We start from the raw sequence: 20,824 nt of genomic DNA on the forward strand, positions 1-20,824 counted from the left end.
GGATGTGGTTTCCTTTGGACCTTAAATTCTAGCACAAAATATGATAAACATTGTAATCAATGCTATCATGTACAGGTATGTGGTGTTATGTGAATATATGGGAATACCTAATTCGTAAACTGGGTTTAGAAAATTCTTGCAGAAGAAAGTGGCATCCAAACAAAGAACCAAGAACGAATAAAAATTATTATAGATAAAGTGAAGCGGGTCTAGTGGAATGACAAAATTACTGAGTGTCAAGAGGTGGAAGGACTTGGTGAATAATTTGAAAAGGAACCATCGGAGGATGATGGCCACATTTCTGGCTCCAGCCATCAGGTAAATATTAACATTCCTTTAAATCTGCATTTTTGTTTTAAATCGTTTTCATATTTATTATCTTTATTTAATCTGAGAACAACTTTTTGGGAGATAGAGAGGTATGCATTTTCTAGCTGAAAATACAAACTGTTTACATAATTTGCCTAAAGTCTCAGTTGAAGAGGGTAAGGGAGGGTAGTTAGTGGATTGCACACAGAATGAAGTTGTTTTCACCATAATTTCTACTCATTTAGAACATACTTTTTATTCTGCTGTCTAAAGAGCAACATGTCTTCTTTCAGACAAGATTATTATCTGGATTCAAATCAATGATACATTTTTCCCTTTGTCATCTGATGTAGACATTTCTAACTGGCTCTCCTGACAGGAGCAATCCATCATCATAGCTGGTGGAACAATTTTGATCAACTATGTCAACACCCCTATCATTACCACCAAGTGCAAATGCACATTAATATTCTATGTAATGGCCAAGCAGATGCAGAAAGACAATACATCTCTTCAAAAGGCTCCTGCAGGCCTCTTCTTTGTTTTCTCACCCTCCCTCTTTTTTTCAAGCTTTGATCATATGTTCTAATTAGATCTCAAGGTTCATTTTACTATACCACAAGCTTCTGTATGGCCACTGGAATCCTTCTAACTCCATTTACCTACACTATCCAATTATAAACTTAGATGGAAGTTAAACAGCCTGTGAGAACTCAGAAGGATATCTCATTGAAATGGTAGAAGAGTTCACTGCTGTATCTCAGTAGCAGGCAGGCACCTCAAACTGGTTAAACTGTGTGCACCACAGTACTGGTGCTATGAAGGTTTCTTTCACAATAGTTTTGCATTTTTTAGGTGTTCAAGATATGTCTTTGTGGTGTATGCATGTGTGTTTCTGTGTGTGTGCACGTTGTGTGTCTGTGTGTTTCTTTTGCTTTTTGGATGGGTGGGAAGTTAATAAGTGTCATGAATTATTAAAAAGGAACTTGACCTTATAGTGATTCCAACAGAAAGGAACAAAATCTGGAGATATCAGAGAGTCCCTTGTGCATATTCCAGGGACTATGCGGGCAACTATCTCTGATGGTTGCAAGAGGAAAAAAGAAGGATTTCAGCATAGATGACAAATTATCACTCAAATGATGATAGTCTGTGGTTATAGGCCTTGCCTCCCACTTGGATTTTGGTATTACCCACTAAAAGTGCTCATCTTGGAAGAGGATGTGGAGCCTCAGATGCCTTCTCTGCTTTCCCTATATGGTCCAGGAAAGCCTATTCCCTGAGACTTTTCTCAACAATCTTACCTCCCAAGACAGACAACACTACTAAATACACTCCCTGAAGGATGAAGGCATCTTGTTCGAGGAAAATTACCTAGTGACCATCAAGCAGGCCATCCAGAGGCAAAACTCCTTATCTGAGGAATTTAGAAGTAATTTGACTTCCCTATTATCAAAAGCATGCATCTGGTACCAAGCTCTTTTCCCAAAACTTTGTAAGTAACTAGAATTTCTATAGATCTCTGGAATGTATGCATATTGAAACTCATTGTGCAACCCTTGCTGACATCAAGGCACCAAAATATCTATAAATGTAATCATTCCTCATGACCTACATGGCTAATACGGTTCAAAATACCCTTAAGCTCCCACTTTAAAGTCCATAAAAACCCCTAAGGAAAATCCACCGCTTCACACTCAGTCCTCCCTTGCTGAGGTGCCTCGCTGTACTCTTCTGCAGCATGCTTTCTATCTAATAAAACCTTCCTTTTCAAACCTATACTGTTGTCAATAAATTCTTCTTGCCAACCTGAGAGTCAACCACTTTCTGATGCTGGGGCTCTGACACCCTGCCGGGCATCTTTTTGACTCATCCTGGGACTTTACTGGGATTTCTCCCTTCTTTTTTCTCTCTGCTTCCCTCAACAGTCTGGTACTTTACTCTTAGAAACCAATGATCTTTGGCTGAGGCCACTCTTCAGTGGGATCCTGAAGCCCTAGAGAAGGAGTGTCTGTCTGTCTCTGCCCTTGGGGCCGAGAAACTGGCCAGGGTTCTTTTCCATTTTTGAATTACCAGTGAACCAGCTTAAGTACTCTTTGGCAATTGAGGGTTTCTGGCTGAGTGCACTCCTTGGTATTATCCAAAGGCCAAGACAAAAAAGCAAATTTACTATTGCCCCCTTCCAAGGGTGGCAAGTCCACCTTCACTTTAACACTGTAAACCGTGCCTTGGAAATGAGCAGCAGCAAAATCAACTCTGCACAGACACAATCTGCTGGTTGTGGACCCCATTTTGAATTGAACTTTGTCACAGACATCACATCGCAAGTCACGGACAAGTTCTCCTTCACATTAGGTTTGAGCTGATCACTCAAACAAGGGCAGGCCTAGACTGCTCATCCAGGCAAGGGTAGGCCCTCTATCCATGGTAGGCACCCCCAGATAGAGTGAGCAAAGGGAAAAGGGAGGTCAAAATCCCTCGCAGGCACTTCAGGAATCTTATAGTGCCGTATCTAAACCCAACATGGGTTCAACTCATTCTTCAGTTCTATCCTATTTGCCCTTGGGTTGCATTCTTATAAAGTGGTCCCATTTTGACCCACAAACTCTTTAAACTTTTATATTCAGAGACCCCATATGTTCAGGTCTTTTGGGCTTTATCTGATACGTAAAATTACATAAAAATTGCATAATCTTCCAAAGAACTTCTTCTCTACCCGATTCTGATGTCTTAGATGATCCTTCCATTTGCCTCTCACACTCTCCTCATCCTGCTCCCACTTTACCTACACCCTTTCCATCTGCTTCATCCCCCAATCATCACCCTCTCCCCATAAACAGATACTTTATCCTCCTCATATACTTGCACAGGAGTTACATAAGCCACTAGTACAGAGTCCTCAGAAAACCTCCAAAATGTTTTCCTTGTCCATAAGGTGGCAAATGAAGATTTGGGAAAAATTCGAATTCATGCACATTTCCAATATTGGATCTTTTGCAAATTCCATCCCAGTTGCGTTCATTTAGCCAGGAGCACTCTAAGTTAATTCAAGAATTTCAGGCCTTAACTATTTCCTTTGTTTTAACGTGGCAAGATATATTTGTGGTATTAACTAGTTGATGTTCCCGCGAAGAAAAATCTTGCCTTTAGTTTGAGCTTAGGTGGATGAAACTCATGCTCGTAATCCTAATGATAATATAGCCAGGGAAGAAGCTGTCCCTGACACAGAACCCAACTGGCAACACCAGGCCACCAATGTTGGCCCAGACAGAGGCAGGGGCAGGTGAGATTATATAATAACTTGTTTGTTGGAAGGAATGAAAAAGACCGTAAGAAAACCTGTTAATTTTTCTAAATTATGAGAAGTCAGTTAGGAGCCATCTGAGAATCCTGCCCTTTTACAAGCTAGACTGCTGGACACTATGCAAAAATATGCAAATTTAGACCCCCAAAGCCCTGCAGGCCAATCCATTCTGGCTGTACACTTTCTAAGTCAGGCATCCAAAGACGTCAGACAAAAACTCCAAAAATTAGAGGAAGACCCACAAACTCCTTTTCCTACTTTATTAAATGCAGCCTTTCCAGTTTTCAATAATTGGAAGGAAATATCAAAAATAAAAAAGGTGCTTGGGGCGCGGTGGCTCATGCCTGTAATCCCAGCACTTTGGGAGGCCGAGGCGGGTGGATAACCTGAGTTTGGGAGTTCGAGACCAGCCTGGCCAACATGGAGAAACCCCGTCTCTACTAAAAAATACAAAAATTAGCCGGTCATGGTGGCACATGCCTGTAATCCCAGCTACTCAGGAGGCTGAGGCAGGAGAATTGCTTGAACCCGGGAGGCAGAGGTTGTAGTGAGCTGAAATTGTGCCATAGCATTCCAGCCTGGGCAACAAGAGTGAGACATTGTCTCAAAAAAAAAAAGCGTAAATTGGAGGAGAAAAAATGCCGTCGCCAACTAATTACATGGCGACAGCACTGGCACATTCTTTTTCATTAACTAATAAACCCAGGGCTCATCCCTATGCTACTAACAGAATGGGGACCTGTTATTGCTGCAGAAATCCAGGACACTAGAGTAGAAAAGGTTCCTAACCTCCAGGTTACAAGCCAACCCTGGAAGCCTGTCCTCACTAGAAATAAGAGGGTCATCGGAAGAGCGAGTGACCCTCTCTCCCTCATGAGGTGGGGCACCTCTTCCTTCTGGGCTGTCACAGCTACAGCCTTATCAATCTACCTAACAAGGGAGTCCTGCAGAATGGGGACGAGGGCAATGCCAAGGACAAGCTCTTCTAACTCTATTCCTGGATTATAATCAAGCCTCTGAAATTCATCCTCTAGATGACTGATGGGGCCTTGAGGCCATCCAGCCCCTATCTTTTCCATCTCTATGGATAAGTCTAGAGTAAATCTGATTGTGGCTAAACAAGAGATAATGTTCTTCATAGATACAGGGGCCAGTTATTCATCTTTAAACATTTACTATGGCCCAATGTGCCAGTCCTCCATTTTTCTCACAGGTATTGATGGAAAACCCCAAGGAGGCTGTTTTACACTGCCACTCCCTTGTAAAATGGAAGGCTATTCCTTTCCTCATTCCTTTTAGTCGTGCCAAGCTGCCTTGTTCCATTATTAGGCCATGACTTAACACAAAATTACATGCTAATTTACAACGAAGCCCTCACCTTCCAGCTGTATTAACTCACACTTCACTAAAAGAGCAACTGCAGTCTACAGAAACTCAAACTCTAAAACAAGTGCCATTTGAAGTTGGAATACTTCTCTTCCTGGTCAATCAATATCAGCTGCTCTTGTATTCATTCAGCTTCAGATTCCCAATAAGTTCTTCAGACTCCCTGATGCCTCTTGAAACCAGAAGCATGAAAAGAGTTACAGCCCCTAATAACAAAATTTTTAACCCATGGATTATTGCACCCATGCAACTGACCTTGCAACTCTCATTTTAGCTGTAAAGGAATCAGATGGCTCCTATCAGCTAGCACAAACCTTAGAATTATTAATGAAGCTGTTATTCTGATTCATCCTATTGTCCCAAACACTTATACCCTTTTTGGACAGACTCTCTCCACCACAGCTTAGTTTACTGTACTTGATCTTAAGGATGACTTTTTCTGCATTCCTGTACAATCAGATAGCCAATTTTTGTTTGCTTTTGAATGGCAAATAACTTAACTTGAACAATTCTGCCCCAGGGAATGGCAAAACACTTAACTTGAACAATTCTGCCCCAGGGAATCAGAGATAGCCTCCACCTTTTCGGACAGGCCCTAGCTAGAAACCTGTCTACCCTGCAGCTTCTCCAAGACAGCAATCTACTCCCTTATGTGGATGACCCTACTAATCTGTAGTCCTAACAAGGCTGTTTTAGACAAAAATACAGTGTTAGTATCAAACAAACTTGCTGACTGTGGATACAAAGTATCTCCTTCTAAGGTACAAATATTCACAGAAAGCGTTCACTTTTGGGGCCTTATTTTAACCCTTGGTACAAAGAGCCTCTCTAGCGCTCCTGAAGATCTTATCTTAAACATGACAACTCCAGGAACTAAACAACAGCTTCTGTCCTTTTTGGGTATGGCTGTGTTTTACAGAATATGTATTCCTTCCTTTGGATTAAAAGGAAAACCTTTATATGAAGCCCTCCAGGGAAGTGAGGAACAACCTCTATCGTGGACTAATAATGTGAAGCATGCTCTAAACACTTTAAAAACAGGCTGTAATCTCAGTCCCAGCCTTAGCCCTACCTGATCTGACTAAGCCTTTCTTTTTTTACGTACACAAATGAAGGGGGATAGTTTTGAGAGTGAGCCTAAGATCTATGGCCCTCTAAGCACCCCACAGCATATTTTTCAAAAGCTTTAGACCTAGTATCCTAGGAATCCCTCCCCACCTCCCAGCTTAAGAGCCTTAGCAGTGGTAGCCCTCTTAGTCTAAGAAACCTTAAAAATATATTAACCCTCCTGGGATCTTATGGCTTTGCTTCACTGCTAATTACCCCCTAGCTAAAAAAGGAGTCTGTGCGTTCATCAATAAAACATGTTCCACTTCTCTTTTCTGTACAGGAATGCGGAAAAAGAGAAGTGAAAACTAATGTCCAAAAAAATTTTCAAACAAGCCACATGGCTATACACACTTTCCTAAAGTAACCACTACTGGGCCAAAACCTCTACTGATTGGTTTCTAAAAATCACATGGCTTCTCCTATTACTTGGACCTTTATTCCTTGTTACTCTTCTTTTAATCTTTGGTCTCTGCCTTTTTAATGCTCTCATTAAGTTTATATCATCCAGGTTACGATTCCACCTACAGATGACTATGCAATCCCAATATCGGCCTGCAACAGCAACTTCCATTTACATGGGGCCTCTTAATGGAATCGTTTCTTCTCCCCATGAACAAGTTTTTCATGATCCTCATTCCCTTCATGACAACAGAGAGAAAAGGAAAAATACAACTTATCCACTCACTATCCCCTTTCAGCAGGAAGTAACCAGACAGACCTGGGGCCCCTCTTCACTGTGCTATTTTCTGTTTCTTGAGACTGTAATAGGCAGCAGGTAGACATGAGCATGGGGGAACACAAAGGGTCAAAGATTTGACCAAGATATTTTCAGGAAGAAAATAAGGAGAGGAAAGATCACCTGGAGACTATCAAGCAGGCCATCCAGAGGCAAAACTTCTTATCTGAGGAATTTAGAAGTAATTCAACCTCCCTATTATCAAAAGTACATAACTTCACCCTGCACTCTTCAACTACTCAGTGATTCCCACACCTCAGTCTACTTCAAACCCTAGATACCTAGCTCCAGATTCTTTAGAGAAGAGGATTTGAGGTTTCCTCTCATCTCCTCCTGTGGCTATCTTAAGATTATTAAACACTTTCTCTGCTGCAATCTCCAGTGCCTCACTATATTGACTATTACATAACTGACTGCAAAGCATGTCTGTATTTGTGTAAAATATTATCAGAATTGTGGGAAAATAGACAAGTTCTATGATAGAGTCTATTTCTAACCCATGTTGACTCCAAGTCTCTATATTGGGCCCACCTGCAAAATCAGAGTGTAAACGAAAGAGTTGAGCTGCAATTAGAAACCTTAATGAAAAGCAACTTTTCAGGCTTTGCTTTTTTCCTTGGCTATTGTTGGGGCTTAGGAACTGATACCCCAAAATACATGCTTCGATATGCAGAACTGAAGAAACCTCAAGGTCTCTCTGACCTCTCACTTCCCCATTGTCTCTCCCAAAGCACAGGATGAGTTGTTGCCTGAAGTCCCTTTATCTGCCTAAAGTACTGATCCACCAGGAGAACAACTGTTTATTCTTCTCCTTACTATTATCTCATTATCTATTACAGAAAAGAAGGCCAAAAATGTAACCACACTTGAATAGACCCTTTCACAAGATAATGTCTGTCTCTCAGGCTCATTCAAATTCCATGGAGAAATATCTTAAAGTTAATCATCTCTGCCCTCCAATCCATTCATTCTCCCTAGTTGTCATTTATTGCCTGTCAACAGAATTCCTCTTTTCCTCCCTCCTATAACCTGTTTTGCCAAGACCTAAGTTCCCATTCTTTCTGTACCCACAAAAGATGATATATAAGCTTCTAAACCCTATTTGGGGGATAGGTAATCACTCCGTGATTCTCACTGTGTACACATTAATAAATCTGTATGCCCTTTCTCCAATTAATTTGCCATTTGTCAGTTGATTTTTCAGTAAACCTTCAGAGGACAAAAGGGAAGTTTTCCCTTTGGTCCCTACACTATTAATTCCTATGTCTTACCTACTCAAATTTCTTCAAGCTTTAAACAGAGTCAAAGCAGGAAAAAGCAGAACAGGTAAATGACAGGAAGTTTCTACTTACAGAACACTTGTAAAAGTGTATGCAATGTCCTATAAACCATCATTTTTTTCTTAATCGTATCTTTATAATTGGATTTAATTATATTTTCAAAATTTTAAGGATAGCTCATATATATTGAAATTAATCTCTCACACTTCCATATTCAGAAACTCTAGATCTGACATAGAGATCATTTCACCTTCCTGATTAATATAGGCAGTACGTGGTGCACAATGAAGACAGACTTTGCGGCCAAGACAAAAGTACCTGAGTCTTCACCCTGTTGGAACAGTGTATATCAGAGTGACTTTGGGAGAGTAATTTTAAGTTATTTGTTTTCTTTCCTATCCATAAAATGGTTTTCCAAGTCCCTTCCTCAAGGGTTGCTTTAAGGTAAAATGAGAGAATGTATGTGAAGTTCCTGTCAGGTAGTGATCTCTCAACAAAACTTCCTTCCCTCAGGCTAGATTTCATTATTAGCAGCTCAAGGGTATAACTTTTACCTTTACTTGATCTTCTCAGCTTCTGTTGGGAATTTTATTTTAAACTGAAGGGCATTTTCTCTTTGCTTCACTTCTTAAGTAAATTCAGTACATTTAAATTATTTCCCTTGATCTTCCTACCTCATCTTCTTTTACAGAGAAACTAATTTGACCTTCCCTCCAAGCTACTTGTCACTTGTCTCTTTTTCTAGTCCTTATGTTATATTCCTATTCTTAGCCAATGATTTCAAATGCAATTCTTTAAGTAATATTTTTCAAATTGCCTTTAATTAATAAAATATGTTGTATTAAACACATTGTATTACAATTGTATTTAATTAATATAACGTGTTTTGCTTGTCTTTCTGTTAGTATGAACTTATGGTTGAAGGCATTCTCAGGGGTTAACAAGAATTCTGGACAGAAATATGGCTATAAGTAAGTATTAATCAGGCTGCACTTTGACCCACTTCCTTGTAACTGAAAGTCACTAGATCCTGAATATTTGTATCCCCATTCCCACTGTTCTTATAGATAGAATCTCTGACATCAGAATCATAAGGCTTTTCTTTAAGAATTGCTTAAAGATGTTCTTCGGATCCCCAATTCCAGTGAAACAGCTGATGACAACCATTTTGAAGACCCCCACAGAGGAACAGAATCAACATGAGATGGTTTCTTCCTCTCCCCATCCTATGACTTCCCCCTGTACTCTTCCACCAATTAACAATCTCCACACTTTGACCCACTCCAAAACCCTTAAAAACCCAGCCCCAAACTACCTGGGGAGATGGATTTGAGGTTCCTTCCCATCTTCTCCTTCGATGGCCCAACCATTAAACCTCTTTCTCTGCTGTAACCTCGTGTCTCAGCATATTGACTTTTTGCACATATTGGGCAAAAAAAACCTATTATGGTTACTTGATTGTGATAACATCAAAAGTACACTGAATTTGGAGTCAGGAGACCTGAATTCTAATCCTAGCTTTGACATTAATTAGCTACGTGGATATAGGTAACTCACTTCACTTCTGAAGGCCTCAAAGCCCTCCAAGGATTTTGAGATAGGCAATTTTTCCCTCAACTTAGCATTATCATTTCATGGTTTTATGATGCAACTTTTACAGCATCACAATGTTCCATTAATAAAATTATATTGGTTTTTCCATATTTTTAAATCTAAACCTTCAAATAACTATTTGTTTTCATTTTTTTCTGGTGTGTTGCCTTTGTCTTTCCCCTTTATTCTTTCATGTTTTGCTTACCTAAGGAAAAGCTTACAAGAAGGAGCTGTGTCAACAGTAGTTGGTATGGATCCACACTAACTTTTATTTGGGGTTTTAACTAAGAGAACTTAATGTATGACTTATTGTAAAATTATAAAAATCAAATCAAGTTTTATAACAACAGCCATAGAATGGTCTTTTTTTTTGCAAAACCAAAGATACATATACATAAATGAATATGATTTATGTAGAAAATGATATTAAAGGATACATACAAAATTATTGAGAAGCAATTAGCCCTGGAAGAGAAAAATCTGAGCTAGAGGGGTAGTGAGGCTAAAATTTGTACTATAAACTGTCCTATATTATTTAATTTGGTATAACAAGAGTGTATTATTCTTATAATAGGAATATTACTTTAAACATTTTTATTAACTGATATTTATTTTATGTATATAAGGTTTTTTTTCAATGTGGCTTTGTAATCTACCACATACTGGACTTAAAGTTATAAACAGGAGAGATGACTGAAGTGGAGGAAGGTTCATTAGCCTCACACAGGAAATGCCTTGAAGTAGACCGTGGGTGAATCTGTTTAAGCTGTGACCCAAGCAGAAATACTTTCTTCTCAAAGTGATTTGAAACTATTATTCTCATTGAATCTATGATAAGAAAACTAATTATGATAACAGACATACGGTTGGAAGAGGAAACACAGGTAGAGCTGTCTTTACATTAGAGAAAGAACTGAGAGAGCTAGGCAAAAGCCATCATTGGGGGTAACAGAACACAGCAGGGGGAAGCATTCTGCAGAGCATATTGGAACAAAGCAAGTCTCTCCAAAAAAATCTAAAGAAAATATTTTCAGAAAGTGCACAAGGCAAAGACTAATGGCTCCCTGCAGATATTCATAAGGATATAAGAAAGAAGAGGCTTTCCAAGAAAATATAACATATTTCAACAACAACAAAAGACTGGGCTAGATTTGAGACACACTAAGAGTCATTAACAACTAGAAGTTCTTATCATAACACTATCTATACTGTTTACAATTGTGTCACTTTATGCTTATATAAAGTATAAAGAGACCACTTTACAGAATATGGGTTCAGTCATTGTCAGGGTATCAGAGTATCTTTTGTTTTCCTTTATTATATTGTAAGGACAACATAAAGTAACCCAAAGAGAAAGGAGAGAACAGCTTAACCTCTCTAAACACTGCACATTTTGGAAGTCTAATCCCCTCTCCCTGTCCCAAATCCTCTCATTATATCTAAGCCCAGTGGAAGTATGCTGGTCCTCACAGGCTGGCAGTTTTCTCAACCTGCAATTAGAGTGTTTAGCTCTTTTTGCCAGCTACAGCTTTAGTCATCAATTCCAGGAAACCCTGACACCAATTCACTGAATATCTAAACATACATTACCTACTTGATCATCTATATTCCCAGATGCAATGAACATATTTTCTTGTTATCTTTTTAAGTCTTCTAAGTTATATTGTGCACAATTTAAATACACTTGCCTTAGTTTCTGAGACAGCCGTTTCTCGGTTTTCTATCTTTCCCAGTTATTTCTTGCCAATCTCCTTTGTTAGCTCCTCCTCTTCAACATGAATTCTAAATGTGTTTGCTTCTATATCATATTTTCTGCTCTAATATACCCTGTCTATATGTTATTACATCCTAAGAAAAAAACAATTCCTATCATAGGTCAAACTTATGCTCTAAATTCCAAAATCATATACCCAATGGCTGATATAATATAACTATGAAATGAGCAAATTCAATATCTAAAGGCCACTAAATTGGAATGAGACTTCTACCCGAAACAGATTCCTCCAAGTCTTCCTTAAATCCATAAGTTACTTTCACACACACACAATGCCCCAAAACAAGAAACCCCAAAGCCACATTTGTTTCCCAATTTCCTTCAATCCCACATTCATTCCCAGCAATTTCAGTCAATTTTACCTCTAAAATATGTTTTGAATTTGTTTACCTCTTCTGCAATTCTCTAGTGCATTACTAATATAAATACAATGCAAGCAACATATGTAATTTTTAACTTGCTAGTAGTCATATTAAAAATAATTTGTGTAAGTCAAAGTGATAATATTTTGGATATATTTGGTTAAAATATATTATTGACATTAATTTGACATGTAAAATATAAATATATTTGAGATATTTTATATCATTTTTCCTTGATAAATGTTCAAAATTTGTTGTGTGTCGTACATTTACATGGCACATCTCATTTCACATAGCCGAAGTTCAAGTGCTTGATAAGTCACATGTAACTACTATATCGGACAGTGCAGCTCTAGTATATGGCAACATTACCTGTTGCCTGGAGAAATACAACAGACTCATATCTGGTATCCTCACATCTATTCTTGCCCATCCTCCATTTCCAATAACATACTTCCTATGGATTGGTGAGAACTGAAAACGACATAATCCTCTGTCCCACAGGGACAGGAACTGGGCAGACCTTCCTGCTCCTGTGTTAATAATACTAAGAGCAAGCAAAACAATACTTAGCTGCTTTCTCCAGGAAATACCTGCTCCTAGAAGAGAAAACTGAAACAGTTAAACTGACCAATTATCAAGACTAGTAAGCTCATTAAGATTTACTACCAAACCTTCAATTCATTTTGTCCACTCATCCAAATCTACTTATCACCACAATCCAACCAGTTCTCTCTCTTGCAAGATACACTTTAAAATCACTCAGCACAGGCTTTAAAATGCTTCTCTAATTTTCCCACCTTGAGTTATCCACATATTGGCCAACAAACCTATTATGGTTACTTGGTTGTGATAACACCAAAAGTACACTGAATTTGGAGTCAGGAGACCTGAATTCTAATCCCAGCTTTGACATTAATTAGCTACATGGATGTAGGTAACTCACTTCAAGGTGGTATTCTCCTTTATCACACTAAGTCTTAGTGGTAGTACTGCTTGATTAACATACTTTTGGAAAGTCAACATTCAACAAAATCAAGAGGAAACTTCTTAAAATGCAAATTGGATCATGCCCCTCCCCTGTTAAAGCTATTACAATAGTTATCAATGCTTTGGAACAAAATTCAAACAGCCTAGCATGTATGAAAATGTCAAAATAACTTATTGTCTGTCTTCCTTTCTAAACTCTTACCACTCTACTCCTCCATTCAGTAACTTTTAGAAACAGTGCCTCCTTCCTGTTCTTTAGGTATAACAAGCAATTCCAAATTTTAGCATCTTTGCAATTACTCTTCTCTGCCTGAAACATTCCTTCAGTGTTTTAAAATTGCTGCCACACTCTTATCCTTACTAACTAACTAAAATTCGATCTCCTCAGAGTGTAAAAGACTGCTTTGACTGAAAGTGATTTATCTCTTAGGCCAATTTTCTTTTCATCATATCATCCTGCTTCCTTCCTATCACTCATCATAACTACTTTATCCATATCTTTCTTTACTCCCTGTCTCTTTCTACAAAAATGTAAACTCCATGAAAATGGAAATCTTATCTGTCTTATCTATCTCCATATGGCTAAGTGTTCGATAGATTTATTGGCCCGTAGTACGTACTCAATAAAACAACAAAATAAGTGAATAAAAAGACAATAAATGGATAAAAGAAAAAGAAAGAAAGGAAGGAGGGAGAGAGGGAGGGAGGGAGGAAAAGAAGGGAAAAGAGAGAGAGGAAGGGGGGGAGAGAAAGAGAGGGAGGAAGGAAGGAAGGAAGGAAAGAAGGAAGGAAGGAAAGAAGGAAGGAAGGAAAGAAGGAAGGAAGGAAGGGGCTCTGAAAACGTGCCATAAGTAAGGCAAGTGTGATAATCCCCTCCCTTGTATATTAGAACACCATGTAACAATGCATCAAAGGGAGAAACCCAGGACTCCAGAGCTACTATAACACGTAGCTGAGACCAGGATCAAGGTCTTCTGATTTCTAATCCTGTGCTCACCACAGCCTAACACACTGTCTTTCAGCCTTCTCTGATTGATGTGGTTCTTTTGAAGCTAAATGTAAGGCTTCAGATTTAATAAATAAGGCATTTGAAGGAGAAAATTATTCTCTATGCATTAATTGGTGAGTTCATATGTTTTTGCATTTACATCTCCTACTTGCATTTTGATTAGCAATTACTTCTGTCAATTTAACACCAACATTTTCCGTAATCAGAGACATGTTATACCTTGGAACAGACTCAATGAGTCCCTGAAACTGGTGAGACAGCACTTCAATCCCTTCACCTTGGCTGCTCTAGTAGTGAACATGCCTGACTACCAGTCTGATTTCCTAAATCTCCTCTGAGATTTTAGATGGTTAGAAATACTTTTGACATATGCTTGGCTTCAGCTCATTGCAAATACAAAAACGCTTGTTCCAAATACAAGCCTCATTTTTTTCTATTATTATTGTTAGTATCATTATTAGTATTACCTGTATCACTCTTCTGAAGTCACTTTTAAAGAGATTCCATATCCTGAGAAAGAGAAATCCCTGAAAATTACATTTGATCAGTAAATTTAGTGAGGCATAAATGGTATAATTAGTATTTGATTGAAATTTCTATCCTCCTTTAGTAGTAAATATATTGTAAGAGATTGTTTGTCATCTATTCGATAATTTCTTATCCCTTCTCTCTTGCTTAAAGAATCTCAATTTTTAAATATTAGGCGGCTTAAGGCAGGTGACTGAGGAACTGAAAGGGATGACTATGCTGCCATCCCAACCATACAGGATGAATTTTGAACACTCTATACTAAGCCTAGTAATTCCGTTCCTCTCGCCATTTAGCAAGGTCATGTTTCTTTGACATGCATGAAGACTCTTAAAAATTTTAACTCTGCTTATGTTTCTACTCCTCCTCCACCTGTACACTGGCGTCCAGGTACCCTTCACCTAATTGTAGTTCTTTCTCCTGTCTTGACCTCCGTATCCTTGCAAATGTGCTGAGCCATAATTCCAACTATCCAACTCTTGACTCATTCATCAAAGCCCAACTGGAATGTCAACAAATGGCTACATCTTTGCATAATTTTCTCCATGGCAGAATTTAAAGTCTCTGTATTTTAAAACATGATTCCATGTGCTTCCATTATATTACTTATCACAATGTATTCCTGTCATTTGCTTATGTACCTCTTTATTCTATGAGAATGCCAATTACTTGATAGCAAAGATCATGACTCAACCATGTTTGCGTTCTTAAAACCTAGCACAGTGATTAAAAGATAGAAAATACTCAGCCATTTTTCAAGTGATTGACTGTATCCTGTACAGGATAGAAAATTACTTCTCAATATGATGTCTTCTTCATTGTATGTTTCCCATGTTCATGATAATCTCACATTCCACATACCCTCCTCAAGACTTTTTTCTGTTTTATACTTTCTAGCTATTATTATTTCAAAGGGTTTTATTTAGAAGAGGGTATCAAAAAGATTATGTATAGCTTAATATCTTAAATTGGCAGCAGCTATATTTATAAAAGACATTAAAGTATGGCAATTTAATATTCTATTCACTAAAATATTTGACTAATTATACCTCTAAATCTTTACCTGTCATTAAACAAATGATTATCTGAAGTGATTTAAGACTCTTTGGATTGGTTTATTTTACTAATTAATAAGCAAAAGACTGTTTAAATTGACTTATGGTCACATAATTGTTAAAAAATAACTGTTATTGTTGAAAATGATGATGATGATGATGATAATAATGATGATGATGACTATGATAATAAGAGCACGATGACAGAAGTGGGTCACTTTGTATTTTCTAAAGATGGATACAATATTATTCCTCATCTCACATGCTCCTTTTGACCTTTACACTCTTTCCATTGAAAGATGGGGTTCGTGTCTCCTCTCCTTTGAATCCGGGAGGCTTTTAACTTGCTTGTAACCAAGACTATGACAGAAGTGACACTCTATGATTTCCAAAGTTAGGATACAAAAGGCAATATGGCGTGTGCTTTGTTAACTGTAACTTATTCTTGGATCCCTGAAATGTCACACAAAAAGCCCGACTATCCAGTGGCTACCATGCTGTGAGAAAGCCAAGCCCCATAAGAGGCTAAATGTCACCTTCCTCAGTCTTCTACTCCTTAGTCCAGATGTCAGACATGCACAAGAAGGAGTCTGTACCCTTTCTAAATTCCTGACCCATAGAATGTGAGAGCATGATACATTGATGGTTGTTTTATACCATTATGTGTGGAGTAATTTGTTATGCAGCAATAATAACTGGAACAAAGAGTGTGACAAGGAATGTTTATGTGTTCATCAGTCCTATTTCTTCTTAGGCACAGAGGAAGAGGGCATTCACCAGCTCCTTTGCAGTTTATTCAGGTCCTTTTGATGGATTTTGTCCAATGAGATGTAGAGGAAAGTACATTGCATTGAGGTCTGGCCACCAAACTTCCTATTCAATTATCTACTCTCTCTCCCATTTCTGCAGTGACATGGAGGCCAGCTTATACAGATGGCAAAATCACAAGATTGAAAGATACTGAATCATTGAGTCACTACCTTGTAGAGACCTATTCAGGAAAACAGGCTGGCATCAGACCAACGTAAGGTTGATAAATAAACCATCATTGCAATAAGCTACTGAGATCTGGGGGTTGTATTACAGCAAGTAGTATTTGTTATTCTAACTACTACAAAAACTAATACTCACTAAGCAGTTACAATGCCCTAGAAATTTTACTAAATGGCTTGCATACATTAACCCTTTTAAACTCTGATGAACCATCCTTACGTAGGTATCTTTGTTATCCCCATTTTACAAATGCAAATCTGAAGTTAAAAGACTACATGACTTACATAGGGTTACAAAGATATTCCAAAGAATGGGAATTTCCTTGAAGACGGAGGCAAACCTAAAATAAGTTTGTACTCTAAGAGTTAAATAAGCAAAATCCACTGGAAGAGATTAGCTATTTGTAAATGCATTGTCAATGTGAGTTTTTGGTAAATGGGAGTCGTGAATTTAATCCCAAACCATTAATTTTAGAGACAAAAGAAGATATATAAAAATCCCTGGTTTTATTTTAATTTTATATTTTTTAGTAAACAGACCACTATGGAATTGTTAAAATGTATTTTACAGCCATTTTTAAGGTTACAAATAATTTTTGTTATGGGATCTTTCTATATTTTATGACTTTAATTAAATTTCTGATTTCTGTTCCAAACATTGCAATATAAGACAGTATAAAACACACTTTAATCATTAAATTTATAGATAATTTTGTGACTTTTTAGAGCTTATAACACCAAGGGACTGATAATAGAGGATAATGTGCATAAAATACACTCCGGCACATTCCACAAACTCTATCCTTAGGATCTTTTTTTCCCATAACCCAGCCACTAATACATACACTAAGAAAGTCTCATCCGGGCTGTTCTACAATTGCCATCATCTTTAAAGAGTAATCTTGTCACCTGAACTAGGTGAAATGAAGAACTTTTAAAACAACCACACGGATCCGACTTTGCAGAAGCTTCTACGAAGACAAATAGCATCAAACAGACATGTACTGTGCATTCATAATTACATTAGTGGCCACAAAATACAATGCTTAGTACACATCCTTGGAACTCTTAAAACCATCTTAAATAAGAGATCAAGCAAATTTAATTCTTTGTGAAAATATATCTCAAGGTAGTTTCTACTGTCCTTAATTTTTGTAGTATAAAATTTAACAAAGTAACATCGCATGTTCTTGTCCTTAATTCCTTGGGGTCTAATGATTACATTTTGAACAAATGTCCAATTTGGAAACCAAATCAACCACTTTATTTAATGCAGAACACTATAACATTTTTTGGGGGGGGGGGCAGGGTCTCACTTTGTCACCCAGGCTGCAGTGCAGTGGCAGAAACTGTAGCCTCGATCCCCCAGGGTCAAGCCATCCTCCTGCCTCAGCCCCACAAGTAGATGGGAGTATAGGCATGCACCACCATGCCCGGATAATTTTTCTGTTTTTTACAGAGACGGGGGTTTCACCATGTTGCCCAGGCTTGTCTCAAACTCCTGAGCTCAACCATTCCACCTGCCTCAGCCTTCCAAAGTGCTGGGATTATAGATATAAGCCACTGTACCCAGACAGACTTTGTTTTAAAGGTCTGAATCTTCCTTATTTCATATAGCCTACATTCTTTTGTGGGAACAAAGAAAACAGATAAATAAATGAATAAATATGTAATACGTCAATCATCATGACAAACGCTACGCAAGCATAAAATTGAGCAAGAAGATGAAGAGTAGCTGCGGTGGGAGATGCTATTTTTAGATGTGGCTCTATATAGGATCTGTGTAGGGTGTTGGATAAGGCAAGGATGAAGCTGACCTGAAGAGGCCTCCTGTGCAGAGTCTTGGAAGAGAGCATCACAGTTAGAGAGCACAGTAAGTGGACAGATGCCAGAAGCATGGGCCTGTCTGAGGAATTAGGGGAACAGCCAGCAGGCCAATGTGTCTGAATCTCAGGGAGCAGGGAAGAGTAGTAGTAGGATAAGTGCTCTTTAACAAATTGCCCAAAAAGTGATTCTTGAGATTTATGTGTTTATAACTGTTCCATCAACAAAGGGAAGTCTATGGAGTCTAAAGGCTCCCATGGTATAAAAACATTGAGCTGTTGTATTCTCCTATGGTAAGAGAAAATGTTCTTCAGGCATTCAGGTGCCTGAAGACCCTGAATCTCTTGCTGTGACTTTCCCTACCAGTATAGGACCTCAAGTGCCTCTATTCACTTAGAGAACTTTTGCTATCAGACTCCAGAATATTTTTCCCGTTGAAACTCCATTATTTAGTTTACAGATACTGGAGTTATAAAATTCCCAGTCTCCCTCCATTAGCTACATCAAAGTCTGTTTTCTAAAATTCATCATTTTATAAGTTGTATTCCCATATTATTTTCTCCAGAAGGCTGATTCAACTCTCCAAAAGTTGTTTTTGAAATGTAGATATGCAGAGAAACTTTATGTTTGAAGAGGTTAGCATTCCTTAAGAGTTTTTAGGATAAAAACAAGTTTTTGTACCAAAATAATAAAACTTACTAGATTGAATACTTAATATAAATCTAACTTATTTAATACTTATACAAGTTTATAATAGTATGACATTTAATAATTCACTTAACAAAAAGCAAACCAAAAACTCTAAGATTCTGCAAGTAACCGTCTTCCCCATATTACCCTTCCATTCACAATGTTAGCCATTTCCCCTGAACACCTGGAGATGTTTTCAAAGGGAGATGCTTGGCTCCTTATATTCAGCTACTTTGAGTCAAAAGCTCTGAGCTGCACTTGTGTAGAGCTCTCTGAGTGCAGGACTAGACTGCATCAAAGTCCTATTGGACCATGGACTCCCCTGCCAGTCCAGTGGTGTTGACCCTTTGGTGAAAGAGCACTTCCCAGAACGACTTCAAGCTGAACATCTTTCTCTCAGAATGAGCAACTGAGATCACTAACTAGCGCGGCTTTTGTAGCTTAACACGTTTCCTGAATATCTTTTTCTTACTCTAGTCACCTCTGCTCCCTTAGTCAAAAGTTTCTTCAAATGGGATACACAAGAGGAGGGCCATTAAATGTGCTGAGAGCATAAGACTTCTTGCTGACCAGTGCCAGCAGGCGTTCCAAGGTTTCCCTACCTTATACTCTGTTTTCAGAAGAAGCAGCAAGAGTACTGTTACAGACTTCTTTCCACTAAGGTTTGATTTAAATTTGCATATAAAACTAAGGTTACTTTGCTATTGGCCTTTTACGAAGTTCCCTTAGGAATCCCCCTGGTAGGTGGTTTCTTTACAAACTGGTCCTGACACTAGAAAAGAGTCATATTACTTCCAGAAGGGACAAAGTGTTTTAACTGGCATTCCATGAGTCCTGTGAGGTTGAAGAGCAGAGTAACTTAGATGAACTTAGGAAATCTGCCTAACACTGAAAAATGAAAAGCTATGAAGTCTTTGTACATTAAATAAATTGGAAATGGTGCCTGAATAAATTCTCCACAGTCAACAAAGTATCAGAAAAGCATGAAGGGGAGAAGCGCACATTTGATAGCCGTTAGGACTATGGAGAGAAAGTGTTCCCTGGGGTTAGAAAAACTGGCTTGACAGGGAACTATGATCATTAGTGCCAAGCACCGGGAACTGTCGCCCTGTGGGTGGAGACAATGCACCACAGGGCCTCAAGCAGTACCATCAGGACCCAGAAACTAGTGAGCTTACCAATTTATTCTCCAAATTGGGCACTTAAAAGGCAGTATAATCCAGTACTGTCCTGTGCAAGCCAAGCCATACATATATATACTCATCCTGTCACTATATTTTAAACTCACTTAGCATATACTTATTTTATGTAAACTCATTTGTAATCCCAATAATCTTCAGACACAATTAATACTACACTGCCCCCAACCCCCTTATCCACAGGGGTTATGTTCTAATACCTCCAGTGAATGCCAGAAACCTCGGATAGTAATGAATCTGATTGCCATCAGTCCGAACACATTTCCATTTCTGTCTTCCACCCACAAATTTAATGCCTTTTCCATCTTAACTAAGCACTTATCATACCCTGTGGCTGTGACTTTTGAGTCTGAAGAGTGATAGCAAAACTAATACCAGTTTCTTTTTCCTTCTTTACAACCCTACAGATAGAAGATTCATTCTTACTGTAGATCTTAGTAACCTTGGCATATGATTTTTTTTCTTTCCTTAATAAGTCAAGAACTTTCACCTTTTCACTTAAAGGAAGCACTTTACAGCTTCTTTGGCATATCAGGATTGCCTGCATCACTACGTGCACTTTGGGGTCATCATGAAGTAAAATAAGGGTTACTTGAACACAAGAACTGCAATACTATATGACTAATGGGAGGGGAGCACAGACAACATGGATCTGATGGACAAAGGGATGATTTACATCCCAG

At 38.3% G+C, this 20,824-nt stretch overlaps 1 protein-coding gene and 1 long non-coding RNA gene across 9 annotated transcripts in view, besides 1 other annotated feature; one reads left to right on the top strand and one right to left on the bottom strand.

Moving 5' to 3' along the window:
• Positions 1 to 20,824, bottom strand: part of CTNNA3 (catenin alpha 3) — a 1,851,072-nt gene that overhangs the window by 339,980 nt on the left and 1,490,268 nt on the right. The window lies entirely within an intron of this gene.
• LOC124902441 (uncharacterized) lies at positions 251 to 16,453 on the top strand. Its single transcript, XR_007062174.1, has 3 exons — positions 251 to 318; positions 9,031 to 9,096; positions 16,346 to 16,453. It is a non-coding gene; the product is annotated as an uncharacterized LOC124902441 (long non-coding RNA).
• Positions 19,798 to 19,967: an enhancer, noted in NCBI's record as "experimental_15324 CRE fragment used in MPRA reporter constructs". NCBI's record gives its function as "activates a minimal promoter by MPRAs in K562 erythroleukemia cells, with activity observed for the introgressed 10:68032143 variant allele {active_cell/tissue: K562}" and the evidence as "EXISTENCE:reporter gene assay evidence [ECO:0000049][PMID:34662402]".

Source organism: Homo sapiens, chromosome 10 (genome assembly GCF_000001405.40).
Source record: "Homo sapiens chromosome 10, GRCh38.p14 Primary Assembly".
NCBI classification, from domain to species: Eukaryota; Metazoa; Chordata; class Mammalia; order Primates; family Hominidae; genus Homo; species Homo sapiens.